Source organism: Homo sapiens, chromosome 5 (assembly GCF_000001405.40).
Source record: "Homo sapiens chromosome 5, GRCh38.p14 Primary Assembly".
In the NCBI taxonomy this organism is placed as follows: domain Eukaryota; kingdom Metazoa; phylum Chordata; class Mammalia; order Primates; family Hominidae; genus Homo; species Homo sapiens.
In genome coordinates, this window is record NC_000005.10 from 139,293,685 (window position 1) to 139,306,790 (window position 13,106).

The 13,106-nt window shown below is 40.5% G+C and overlaps 1 protein-coding gene and 1 pseudogene across 31 annotated transcripts in view, besides 3 other annotated features; both read left to right on the forward strand.

The window, feature by feature from the left end:
- Positions 1-13,106, forward strand: part of MATR3 (matrin 3) — a 57,577-nt gene that overhangs the window by 19,584 nt on the left and 24,887 nt on the right. For 3 of the 31 annotated variants that reach the window (NM_001400445.1, NM_001400466.1, NM_001400467.1), the window contains exon 1: positions 56-1,313. The exons of 23 other annotated variants lie outside the window; for them this stretch is intronic. Coding sequence is in view for 1 of the 8 variants with exons in the window: in NM_001194956.2 (NP_001181885.1) it covers positions 297-344 (48 nt within the window). In the remaining 7 variants the exon portion in view is untranslated. Of the gene's footprint in view, positions 1-55; positions 1,314-13,106 lie in introns of those variants that run through there. 5 more of the 31 variants (NM_001194955.2, NM_001194956.2, NM_001400458.1 and 2 more) reach the window with 4 other exon arrangements.
- Positions 128-831: an enhancer, noted in NCBI's record as "NANOG-H3K27ac-H3K4me1 hESC enhancer chr5:138629501-138630204 (GRCh37/hg19 assembly coordinates)". NCBI's record gives its function as "activates a minimal SCP1, AML or CMV promoter by ChIP-STARR-seq in naive and primed H9 embryonic stem cells {active_cell/tissue: H9 hESC(naive and primed)}" and the evidence as "EXISTENCE:reporter gene assay evidence [ECO:0000049][PMID:30033119]".
- Positions 832-1,534: an enhancer, noted in NCBI's record as "NANOG-H3K27ac-H3K4me1 hESC enhancer chr5:138630205-138630907 (GRCh37/hg19 assembly coordinates)". NCBI's record gives its function as "activates a minimal SCP1, AML or CMV promoter by ChIP-STARR-seq in naive H9 embryonic stem cells {active_cell/tissue: H9 hESC(naive)}" and the evidence as "EXISTENCE:reporter gene assay evidence [ECO:0000049][PMID:30033119]".
- RNA5SP195 (RNA, 5S ribosomal pseudogene 195) lies at positions 6,168-6,284 on the forward strand (annotated as a pseudogene).
- Positions 8,176-8,470: a silencer, noted in NCBI's record as "tiled region #13556; HepG2 Repressive non-DNase unmatched - State 14:Gen5'". NCBI's record gives its function as "represses a minimal TATA promoter and a strong SV40 promoter by Sharpr-MPRA in HepG2 cells {active_cell/tissue: HepG2}" and the evidence as "EXISTENCE:reporter gene assay evidence [ECO:0000049][PMID:27701403]".

The following is a 13,106-nucleotide window of genomic DNA, read 5'->3' on the forward strand; positions in this document are numbered from 1 at the left end:
TGGGCTGCAGCCGCTGCCGCCGCTTCTCGCCAGCGCCGTTGCTGCGGGGGATTGTGGGAGTCTCCGCGTCCCGCTCGCTGGGAGAGAGGTACCTCTCCTTTTCCCTCTCCCTTTCCCTAAGGTAGGCGTGAAGCGGGTAAGAGTCGGGGTCGGGTGGCTGGGGGTTCTCCGTGTCCGCCGGGAGGGGACAACGACGGCGACAGGGGCTGCGGGGAGCCGGCGGCGCGCCTTTCTTGCTCGCTCCCGCTCTGCCTCCCTCCGCGTTGCGTATGTGAGCCGCCTGATCGGCGGCCGCCATGTTAGGAGCGCAGTGGCGGCGCAACCAGCCTTCTAGGGCGGCGGAGGTGAGCGGTCCGGGAGGGAAACACGCGGCCGGCCAAGGGCCCAGGGTGCGGCGGGAGATTTTGGGTGAAGAGGTGCGCTGACCGGCCGAGCTTCCTGCGCGTCCTGGGCTCGTTGTGGGCGGGGGCGGGACGACTAGCCCGTTACACGCGGGCCGCGGCGCTGAGGGGGAGGGAGGAGCTCGCTCGAGGCCTGAGGGACAGACTGTACACTGGGGGCTTGCCGTTTGAGGAGGATGGTTAAGATATCTAAGTCCTTGGGTAGCGCCAGTGCCAAATAACCCGTTCGCCTTTTTTTCTCTGAAAATGTTCCCCCAAAATGGAGGATTTCGCAGACTCTGAAGAGCCTGCTTGTTTGAGCAGCGTTTCTTTCTTTTCCCGGTGTCTCGGCCTTCACGCCGCTCCTTGCCCATCGCCTCAGAGCGCCCCCTAAGACTCCCGGCCCACACGCGCGCGCGCGCGCGGCGTTAGCTGGACATCAGAAACAATTCCTCCCCGCCCCCCATCGCGTAAAAATGGCCGAAAAATGAAACGTTAACGCTTGTTTTTCGTACTGCGTCGTGGAACAAGCCGCCTGCAGTACAGTGCGAGGCGGGTGATTTGCACTTGTTTAGTCAAGTCACCTCACATCCTTTTTCTCTTTATCAAAATAGTATTAGTCCAGGTTCCTCCAGAGAGGATCGTGTGGTGTGGGACCTTCCGGTTTCCAGACAAAGGGTTTTGGAGTACCGTGGTGTAGTCGCCGCATCGTTCTTTGCATTTCGAGCTCTGTGCCATGTTCTGTGTTCGGCATTTACCGTGGATGAATATCCCCTAGGTGTTTATCCTGCTCTGTGGCCCTGTTCTGTGGAATATTCCTATTGGATCAGTTACAGTTTTTTAGCCAGATATTTCTAGAACGGTTATGGTGGTTCTGAAATGGCTAGTCTTTCGGGCGCGCTGGAATAATGTGAAGAATCGTTGATTTCGTAGGTAGGGGTCACGAGATTTTGTATTGGTACTGCGTTCTGTGTTTTAAACCTTGGCTTAAGATTTCTGAATAGTCGGTAAAATACATTTTTCTCCCAGGGAAATCTAAACAGTTGACTATGCGGACAAAAATGATGTTTCAGGCTATTTTAATAAATGTTTAAAATTTCCCTTTAAAAACATTTCTTTACTAATGGCTCAGTCATCTACGCAGTCTATCGACGTTTTTCACAGTATTGTTTTAAAAATCAAGAAAGGCTTGACATTTTCGTTGCAAAAACGCTCTGGATGATGCCTTTTCCACTTAAATAGAATGTTTTTGCAAACTCGAAATTAAACAACATTAAAATACTGCATGAAGTTTCTTGGTTATGTAAGATTTGGAAAAGATCATTTAGCCAGATGTGTGTTGAAGTGCTTTAAATTTGTATTTCTTCCTTTGCACTTAACAGTATATACTTAGAACATTACTTTGTACTTTACCCAGAGAAGTTTCGCTTTATCATCTTTATATATTTTTCAGCCGTGTACAGCTTTTATATCACATTTTGAACTAACTTGGAAGGATTTAACTACCCTTGATCTGTGCATTTGTTTTAGTCTTTAAACATACTAATTTTTTTACTAATGCTTTTAGAGTTTGTAAACGCTAATATTACAAGTCAGTTAATGGTTTTTACTGAGGAGTGCAACGGTGGTGTCGTATTTTAGGAGCATCACGTAGTTCAAATCCCTAATTTTATAGAAGAGAAGGTTAAAGCCCAGATAGGTCGTGACCAGTTGCAAATAGTAGCAGTGCTGTCAGTGTGGTCTACAGAGGTCTTGGATCTTTTTTTTCTCTGAAACAGGATCGCTCTGTTGCCCAGACTGGAGTGCAGTGGTATGATCAGTGGCTCACGGCTCACAGCAGCCTCGACCTCCCAGGCTTAAGTAATCCTCCCACCTCAGCCTCCTGGGTAGCTGAGATCACAGGCGCGCGCCACCACACCAAGCTAATTTTTTGATCGTCTGTAGAGACGTGTTCTCACAATATGGCCCAGGCTGGTGTTGAACTCTCGGAGCTCTTAGATGTTGATTCAGACTCCTTCATAGTATAATAGGCTTAAAATGGAAAGACTGTGCGTACAGGAATTTATCCTAAGGAAGTAATGTGTCAGATTTGCGTATATAAATTTAATATCAGTTATTAAGAATTTTTTTTAAAATTAAATATTCAAGTTTTGGGAATCTGCTAATTCTGTTGTGAAAGTGGAAATCTATACAGCCACTTAAAACAGTATCGTAGGTGAAGAGTATGATGGGAAAATGGTAACGGTATACAGTTTTAACTGGAAAGGAAAATGTTGGAAAACTGCTAATGTCGTTTGATTGTTTTTTAAACGACAATGTAAACATGAAAATAGAGATATACCCCAAAATGTTTGCTCAGATGTTGGCATTGTTTACTCCCTGATGTTTTTCTGAATTTACCACGAGAAATAACATCAACTTTTGTAATGAGAGAAAAAAATGAAAAACATATTTTGTAAATACTGTAACTGCTTAAAATATTAGAGTCCTCTGTATTTTTAAGCGAAATTGGCATAGACAAACTAGCTGCTTCAAGTCTGAAGTGAAAAGTACTGAGAAGTGACAGAAAGTAGTGCTTGTGTAACATTTTGGATATTGGGTATAAGCAAACACAGGAATCAGAATATTCTTAGGCAAAAATGTTAAAATCATTATTATTGGAAATAGTACTAATTAGCTTACAATATGAATTGCAGCCAAAGAATTGAATAATGGTTAGATGTTCTTAGAACATCTTTTTGTTAGGGATACTTGATTTTATATATCTCCTTTAGTTAGAATTACAGTACAGCTATCCCACACTTCTGGCAACAGGTTCTAAAAGTGGATGATTGCGGCCAGTGGCCCGTGATCCCAGCACATTAGGAGGCCAAGGCGGGCGGATCATCTGAGGTAAAGAGTTCTGAGACCAGCTTGCCCAACATGGCGAAACCCCATTTCTACTAAAAATTACAAAAATTAGCCGGGCGTGGTGGCAGGCACCTGTAATGTAATCCCAGCTACTTGGGAGGGTGAGGGAGGAGAAATCACTTGAACCCAGGAGGCGGAGGTAGCAGTTAGCCGAGGTGGCGCCACTGCATTCCAGCCTGGGCAACAGAGCGGGACTCCATCTCAAAAAAAAGTAAAGTGGATGATTGACTTAACATTTGGGATGGACAGTGCTAAGTTTGTTGGGATGGATTGGAAGGGTTATAGGCTGGGAGTGTAGTTTTGCCATTTTCTGTATATGTGGTTGGTTATTCTAAGGCACAACGCTGTCCAAGAAATAAAGTGCTGTAATTTATAATTATTAGCTATGTAGCAAACCTTTCTCATTGGATCATTAGGATTAAGGGCTCTGAAGTTCTTGATAAAAGTTTATGTGTAGAAAATTTAATGGATAATTAAAAGTAAAACAGAAAACAAGCCTATGGGTTGAGTTTTAGATATGTACCTTTAAAGGGGTTTTATGTGTAATTTAAAAAATTGAGTATAAGTGTTAGGTTTTAACGCATTTCTATTATAATCCTATTTGTAATACAGTAAAAGTTACATGATAAAGTGCTGTTATCTGACCTAACCTGAATATAATTTATTACTGTGGCACTTCTGTGTGGATGGAGTGCGGAGTGCCTTTGATGTGATGTATAATTTTCCAGTTGTACATCAAGCCCTAATGTTCTCTGTATAGATAAAGCTCAAGGCTCTTTGGAAGTGGAAAATAAAAAGTGAAGTAGTAATGAAAGCTTAGGTTTGAAAAAATTTTAAAGCTATTCCAAAATTTAAAGTATGCTTGCTCCCCACCCACCAAACCTTAAAAACATCTTATCTGACATTCTCTTTAATGTGGTTCAGGCAGAAACAGGTTAGTAGGAAAACAAGAGGGGAGCTTGCCTGTGGAGAAGGAGAGAGTAGTTGCAGATGGGTAAGAAAAGTAAAAGCAGAGTGCCTATGGTAAATGTCTTAGTGGGCCAGCAGTAAATGCAGCAAGTATGGAAAGTAGTCATTTAATTAATATTAGGGAGCAGTATTATCTGCATTTACTTCATGAAGATGCATAACTTTCAGATCTTTTAGGATGATGTGTTTGGTTTTTTTCCTCCTTTGTGAGGATTATTAGGATATTAACCGTCCCTCTTAACACACGGGAACCTATACCATATGTGAAAATTAAAAGTCAATTATTTGAGCACTCAACTTAAGCAGTAGTTGGGGAAAGAATAATGTCAAAGAAATACAAACATTTGGCTGGGTGCAGTGATTCACACCTGTAATCCCAGCACTTTGGGGGCTGAGGTGGGCAGATCACTTCAGGCCAGGAGTTCGAGACCAACCTGGGCAACATACGGAAAACCCCGTCTCTACTAAAAATACAAAAATTAGCGGGTCGTGATGGCGCGTTCCTGTAATTCCAGCTGTTGGAGACGCTGAAGCAGAATTGCTTGAACCTGGGAGGCGGAAGTTGCAGTGAGGCGAGATCGTGCCACTGCACTCCAAGGCTGGTGACAGAGCAAGACTGTCTCAAAAAGAAAAGAAACACAAATATTTGAACTCCAAATATTCTTTGTGTGTAGAAAAATCTAATGGATAATTAAAACTAGAGCAGAGAGAAAAGCCTAGGAGTTGAGAGATTTTTAGATACGTGACTGAAAAGATTGGAAAAGGCTATCAGTTTTAATGCTTGTGTCTGTCTTTGTGTGGGCCATGGTATTTTGGAAGAGCACCATGGAGGAGGAAGTTTTGCAGTTTTGCACCAAGGGACACCAAGAAACAGCGTTGTTCTTGGTAATGGCAAGAAATTGAAAACAACTTAAATGTTCATCATCTGCAGAATAAAGTACATGTGCATACATAATGATACCTATATTGCAGTGAAAATGTAGGTTTAACTCACAATTGTGGATAAATCAGTTTTTAAAAGCAAGTCAGAACAGTACATTTTAAGTCAATTTGCATGAAGTTCAGAAATGCAAAAATAACACTTTTTAAGGGTACATACATTAAGTAGTCAAACTTAAACACAAGGGGAGGGAGTCGTTGGAAATTGCTATGTAGATTTATTTCCAAAGTCTCGTTAATGTTTTGTTTCGTATTTTTATATACACTGGTTTGTATAATACATTGAATGATTAAAAGGGGATGCTGGGCCTTGAGAAAATAACTGGTATTACATGAAATGACAGAGGGATGCCTCCCAGCTAATAATTTTATTTACACAAGCATTGAGTAGTTTCTGTAAATGGAATAGTAAGCAGACGTTTCTGTAAGGTGTTTGGTTATGGTTGGGGAAAAGGTTTAGAGAAGTAGAATGGAACCAACACATGAAAGGCAGTGAAAATTATATGTGAGGCAGGGCACAGTGGTTCATGTCTATAACCTCAGCACTTTGGGAGGCTGAGGGAGGAGGATCACTTGAACCCAGGAGTTCATGACCAGCTCATGCAACGTAGTGAGACCTTGTCTCTACTAAAAATGTTAAAAATTAGTCGGGTATAGTGGTGCATGCCTGTGGTCCCTGCTGAGACCAAGGAGGATCACTTGAGCCCAAGAGATTGAGTCTGCAATGAGCCAAGATTGTGCCACTGCACTGGGCAACAGAGGAAGACCCTGTCTTGAAAAAGGAAATCGTAGTGTGGATTTCATGTGGTAAGTGGTAGGGAGTAGTAGGTTTTTGAGCCAGGAGAGTGTGAAATGAGTGATGTTTCAGGTTGTTTATGTTGAAAGGTGATGAGGTGTGAGCTTTGATGCCAGGAGGCTAGCTAAAAAGCAGGAGGACTAAGATTATGGCAGAGAGAATAGAAAGGTAAGATCTATGGCCATACCACCCTAAACGCACCTGATTTCGTCTGATCTTGGAAGCTAAGCAGTGTTGGGCCTGGTTAGTGCTTGGATGGGAAACAGGTTAAGGATGCAGGGTGAAGGGTGATTTAAACACAGGTTGGCAATACAGAATGAAGAAGGAAGATGTTTAATTTTTCCACTTTTACTAGAATTACTGCAATATAGATAGTGTATTGTTCTTTAGCTTGTCTGTTGAAAGTTACTACCAGTTGGCTCACACCTGTAATCCCAGCACTTTGGGAGGCCAAGGTGGGTGAATCACAAGGTCAGGAGTTCGAGACCAGTCTGGCCAACATGGTGAAACCTTGTCTCTACTAAAAAATACAGAAAATTTGCCAGGTGTGGTGGTGTGCACCTGTAACCCCAGCTACTCCAGAGGCTGAGGCAGGAGAATCACGGGAACCCGAGAGGCGGAGGTTGCAGTGAGCCAAGATCACGCCATTGCACTCCAGGCCTGGCAACTGTGCGAGACTCTGTCTCAAAAACAAAAGTTACTACCAGTCTTTAAGTCTGTTTTTGAAAGCTGATTCCTGGTGACCAGTATGACATTAAAGTTGATACATGAAAGAGACTACGGTGCAGATAAAAAGTTTATAAGCTCTTTATTCATTTGTCTTTGGATCTCAGTCCTTTTGCCTCTAAAAGTTTTTCTCATCTAAAAATAAAGAAAAATAGATTTTACCTTCTTAGTTTTATGAGGATCAGATTATACCAAATGAGATGATTACTACGGTGCTGTGTGTCAGACACTATTTTAAATGTTTTATTTAGACTAATTTATTAAGTCTTTTTGAGTCAGAGTCTCACTCTGTCACCCAGGCTGCAGTGGCTCACTGCAACCTCTGCCTCCAGGGTTCAAGTGATTCTTCTGCCTCAGCCTCCCCAGTAGCTGGGATTACAGGCACATGCCACCACACCTGGCTGATTTTTGGTGTTTTGTTGTTTTGAGACAGAGTTTTGCTCTTGTTGCCCAGGCTGGAGTGCAATGGCATGATCTCAGCTCACTGCAACCTCCGTCTTCTGGGTTCAAGTGATTCTCCTGCCTCAGCCTCCCGAGTAGCTGGGATTACAGGCGCCTGCCACCACACCTGGCTCTTTTTTGTATTTTTGGGTAGAGACAGGGTTTCCCCATGTTGGCCAAGCTGGTCTCGAACTTGTGGCCTTAAGTGATTCTCCCACCTCAGCTTCCCAAAGTGCTAGGATTACAGCCATGAGCCACTGTGCCTGGCCTAATTTATCGAGTCTTTATGGCCTTATGAAGTAGGTATTATTTTTATTTCCCACCACCCTTTTTGGCTCAAGGTCACACAGCTGTTTGTAATAGAACCAGGATTCACACGAAGGCTTTTGGGCCCCCAAAATTCAGTATGTATGAAATAGTTGTAGAAATGTTTATGGAAGTCAAGAGAATAGGGCTCTTAGGGATACAGAATGGAGCCTTTTTTCTTTATTTGAGACAGAGTCTCACTCTGTCACCCAGGCTGGAGTACAGTGGCACAATCTTGGCTCACTGCAGCCTCCACCTCCCGGGTTCAAGAGATTCTCCTGCCTCAGCCTCCCAAGTAGCTGGGACTACAGGCGTGTGCCACCACACCCGGCTAATTTTTGTATTTTTTAGTAGAGATGGGGTTTCAGCGTATTGGCCAGGCTGGTCTCGGACTCCTGACCTTAAAGTGATCCTCTCGCCTCGGCCTCCCAAAGGGCTGGGATTACAGGTATAAGCCACCGCGCCCAGCCCAGAATGGAGCCTTGAAAGAAATCACTGATTTTGCTTAAGCAGAGAAGAAAGTAAAGAGCCAAGTTTATGTCGTAGTTCAAATAGACAATGAACATCATCAGGTACACGGGGTAACTTTCTATCTTGTAATACGGGTTTACTTCATCAATTCTGTGTAGTTCTAATCTGAAACTATTTCTTGCCTGATTGAAGGTCACTGGGAAAAAATTTTAAACCTAGGAAGAAGACAGTATTATTCCAGGTCTGAGTGGGAATTTCTTACACTGGTTAACAAGTAGTTTTCTGTCTTCTCAGCAGCTGACGCCACTCTGCAACATTCTTGTCATTCATTAGCCTAAGGATCAAGAAGTGGACTAAAAATTGACTTCACGTCTGTTAGATGGATTAAGAACAGTGGTCTTAAAGCACTTGAAAATATTCATGCTTGTATTTCAGCCTTCCTGGCACTACACTTTTTTATCTTTTCTATTGTATGATGACACATGCTACTTTACCACACCCACCTAATTTTTGCATTTTTAGTAGAGACGGGGTTTCACCATGTTGGCCGGGCTGGTCTCAAACTCCTGACCTCAGGTAATCTGCCCGCCTCGGCCTCCCAAAGTGCAGGATTACAGGTGTGAGCCACTGCGCCTGGCCTATTTTAAAAACTCTTAAGCCACTCAAGGTACATGCCATACTGAGATGAGATTGTGACACTCAAAAACATAGATTAGAGAGCATAAGATTTGAAAGTGGCTGAAACTCTAGGAAAAAAATGTAGTTCTTCAGCATACTTCAAAAAAACCCTTAAATGAAATAATTGTTACAAAATATGTTAGGAAATATTATATACACCATTAAAATGAAAACTTGTAGTACTTTTAAAATGGAAACTATGGTAAATTCTTTATAAAACCATTATAAAATTTAATAAATGAAGAAAAATTTAAATAGTAACTGAAACCTGTTCTTGAATTGAAAATAAGTTGGATGCTTGGTTTGAAAGTCCTGACCGCAGGAATCAATATTTTTGTGTGATTTATGACAAAAATCAAGCAGCTACCTTCCAAATGGTGCTGCTTTGAAATTACTGACAGTCAACTATGTCTGCCATCTATCAGTGACATAGGTTAAGACATTTTTACTAAATTGGTATTGTTGATTGCTACCTAAAACATATTTGGTATATTTTCACATGAATAAGCTAATAAATGATCAAGGTGATTGGCCTTGATAGAACATTTGGAAAATCTGAGCATTTCTTGCAATTCAGAAGAGGAAAATATAAGAAACTGTAGTTTTCTAGCTGTTGCTTGTAAGTTTCAATGTGAAGTTAAAATAATGTCATTATGAAGGTATTTTTTTCCCTGAGTATCTCTAGTTTTATGGTTAAACCATAAATAATCTTTCATAGTTTTATGGGTAAACCATCTCAAATTAGTTGTTTTTTTTTTTTTTAATTCTGACTACAAAGACTGAGAAGAGAAAAATTATTTTTTTATTTGTTTTGTTTTTTGAGACGATGTTTGCTCTGTGGCCCAGGCTGGAGTGCAGTGCCCCAATCTCGGCTCAGTGCAGCCTCCATCTCCCAGGTTCAAGTGATTCTCCGGCCTTAGCCTCCCACGTAGGTGGGACTACAGGTGCGTGCCACCATGCCCAGCTAATTTTTATATTTTTAGTAGAGACGAGGTTTCACCATGTTGGCCAGGATGGTCTTGATCTCTTGACCTCGTGATCAACCCACCTCGGCTTCCCAAAGTGCAGGGATTACAGGCGTGAGCCACTGCGCCCTGCCAGAGAAAAATTATTTAAAGGAGTGATTATCTCACACAGTTGAGAGCATAGCTGAAGATCCATGTGGAGTAGTAGATACCTCTTAGCATTTTGGGAGGTCAAGGCGGGAGGATTGCTTGAGCCCAGGAGTTCGAGACCAGCCTGGCCAACATGGTGAAAACCCCCTCTCTACCAAAACAATGAAAACTAGCCGAGCATGGTGGCATGTGTCTGTAGTCCCGGCTACTTGGGCTGAGGTGGGAGGATGGTTTGAGCCTGGGAGGCAGAGGTTACAGTGAGCCTGGGCAATGCACTCCCAGGTGTGATGCCATTCCACTCCAGCCTGGGCAATGAAGGAGTCAGACACTGTCTTTTTTTTTTAAACTAAAAATCTTTTCATTTTTTTCTAATACCTTCTAAGAAATTAAAGTTAGCTTGCGCTTATTTTAGTAATTCTGCTAGATATTACTCTGAAAGAATGACTAAGGACTTACCGGTAATCTTTAAGGAAATTTAGATCTGGAACAGCTGTTTGCTTCTGTTCTCCGTGAATTTTCAGGGTATGTGAAATTTTTCAGAAATATTTTAGTACTCTAGTTCTTTTAATTGGAGAAGAAAAAGCCAATAACAAAAATCAGATTCTCATGTAATGGGAGGTAGAATATTAACTGAAACGTTTCCTAACCATACATAGGGATGATACTCAGATTTGTTTAGATGTTGAATGTGAAGCTAACATTTTTAAACAGCTTAAAATTGTATCATAAAATAATTTTAAGTTACAGTTTGTTTTGAGTTGCCTATAAAAATGAATTTTTAAGCTAATTTGTTAAGAATTTGGTTATCGGGCCAGGCGTGGTGGCTCATGCCTATATAATCCCAGCACTTTGAGAGGACGAGGCAGGGGGATCACCTGAGGTCGAGACCAGCCTGACCAACATGGAGAAACCCCGTCTCTACTAAAAATACAAAATTAGCTGGAAGTGGTGGTGTGTGTCTGTAATTTCAGCTACTTGGGAGGCTGAGGCAGGAGAATCACTTGAACCTAGGAGGCAGAGGTTGCAGTGAGCTGAGATCGTGCCATTGCATTCCAGCCTGGGCATCAAGAGTGAAACTCCATCTGAAAAAAAAAAAAAAAGAATTTGGTTATCAAGATTGTAGTAAATGGCATTTGTGTAGTGAAATTGTGGGTAATGTTGATAGTTTTTAGGGGGGTGCAGGTGCTTTCTTTTTTGGAAGTGAAGGGTTCTGCATTGATGGGCATTTACACTAGTATATAGAGATTTTAAATAGGTAAATTGGATTTTGATAATAAATGTTCTCCCAAAGCTACTATATTTAAAATTGTTTTAACCTCTAGTGCAGTTTCCTATAGAAAGGCAATTTTATAATTACAGGAAAAAACAATACAGTAAAAGGAGCTAATCTTTTGTAAATCTTTAGTAAGTGTCTCCATATTGTGCTGCCTTTGCTAATAGGCAGTGGGGCCCATGTGAATGAGCCTTTAAAAGTGGCTTGTACATCTTATGTTCAGCATTGACATGATAGAGGAACTGTTTTCATTAATGCTTTTTCAACAATGTTGCCACATCTGGTTTCTCCCAACTTTGTTCTAATAAAACCATTTTTAAGAATTTGGTTTATTTGTGGTTTAATCCAAAATCTAACTTAAGTTGCTTTTCACTAATTTTACCCTAATATCCTTGATGGAGCTGCATTTTACGTTGAAACTGAGTATCTTAAAACTACTAAGGTGGTTATGGAATTACACGTTGTCATGGGATTTACATTGTTTGTCTTGACTCTTTTCTGAGTTTTTCTGACATTCATTTTCTGTTTGTCTTAAGGTTATCCTTTACCTTTGCTTCTCTTAACTTTTTCCTTTTGTTGATCCACTGTTTTCCTATGAGCTACCAAAAAATGTAATTCAGAGCTCTGTAGTCTAACAGTCACATTTCCTTAAAATATGGCCGTTTTAAAAATTTTAAACATAATTGTAATACCATTATATAATTTCTCTTAGGGAAAAAATAATTCAAAAGACTGACTTTTCAGTAATGCAAAGCTTTGGCTACAACATGAAGGTCAAAGCTGCAATTAATAACCCTGATACTTCAACATTTTTATTTTGAAAAACCCTCTAAAGGATTTGATTTGTAAAAATATGTGTGAAAATTTAGAGGGTCCACCACCATTTACATAGCATCTCAGCCGCCATTCTGTCTGGCATTTATAAGACATATCAAAGAAACTTTCATCTGAAGAAGTCCACTTATTCTCGTCTTTATTAATCTTAAAGCTTAAGTAGTTTACATAGTGGATCTTGTCTAGAACTATTAATAGTTTCTTTGGTGTATTTTCTCAAATTCATCTTTCTTGGTGTGCAAAAACATCTTCCTGTAACTCCAGCCACCTCTTATAGCATTTCTGTGTCTTTTAAAACTTGATTATATCTATTTTTTAAAATCCAGTCTAAATCTTTCTTGCCTGCAACTTTTTTTATACTTCCTTTGCCACTGTATTTGTCCATTGTATCCTTGCTTTAATCTATCATTGGTGAAATTGATCCTGTAATAGACTTGTAACTACTGGATATTGTCTGGTTTTACTGTTAAAGTTTCACATATTAAGCTACCAGTGCTGAGTGTATTGGTGATCAAAAAATAGAAAATTTAAGCAATGCCTCATAGAATTCTGTACCAAACAACTTCAGATTTACCTCTGTATGTAGTTGTGATTATAAAATTGTTTCACTGAAGATGTTATGTATATCTTTCAACTAATATTTTATGACAATCGTGATATAAAAGATTTGGAAATTCTTATGTGACAGTTTCTGAGGTACAACAATAATGATTTAAGAAAGAAAACAATTTCATCTAGAAACACGTCTTGGGGGATCATAATCAGAACATAAATTTACCAGGTGATTTGGGCTATTCTTGTGAAAAGTTTACAGGAAACTGTGTAACCAAGATCTCATTTTCATTTTTACCTGTTTTGTGCTCTAGATGTGCTGTAGCCCTGAGCATTAAATGAGTACTGATGGATGCTGATTTGGGGAGTTCCCTTCTTTAAATCACCTGTATTTCCTGTACCTAGGTTTTTTCTTGGGAGGGCTCCTATTCCTGTACTGACCAGAGTTAGTTCTCCTTACTTTAAAAGACTAGATATGAAGTAAACACTGCCTGATGTAGGATGGTCAGTAAGAAGGCAATTAGTTGTATAACTTAAATTTGGGCAGCAATCCTTAAAACTATAGGAAATGACTTATTTTTCTTATTCACATCTATCTTCACCTCAAATTGATTTTGCTGTATAAAGGTCTCAGCTATTATGTTTGGTCTTATATCTTACATTAGGTACTTGAAACCTAAGCTTCATTTACTTGTGATTTTACTTGGTTCTTTCTG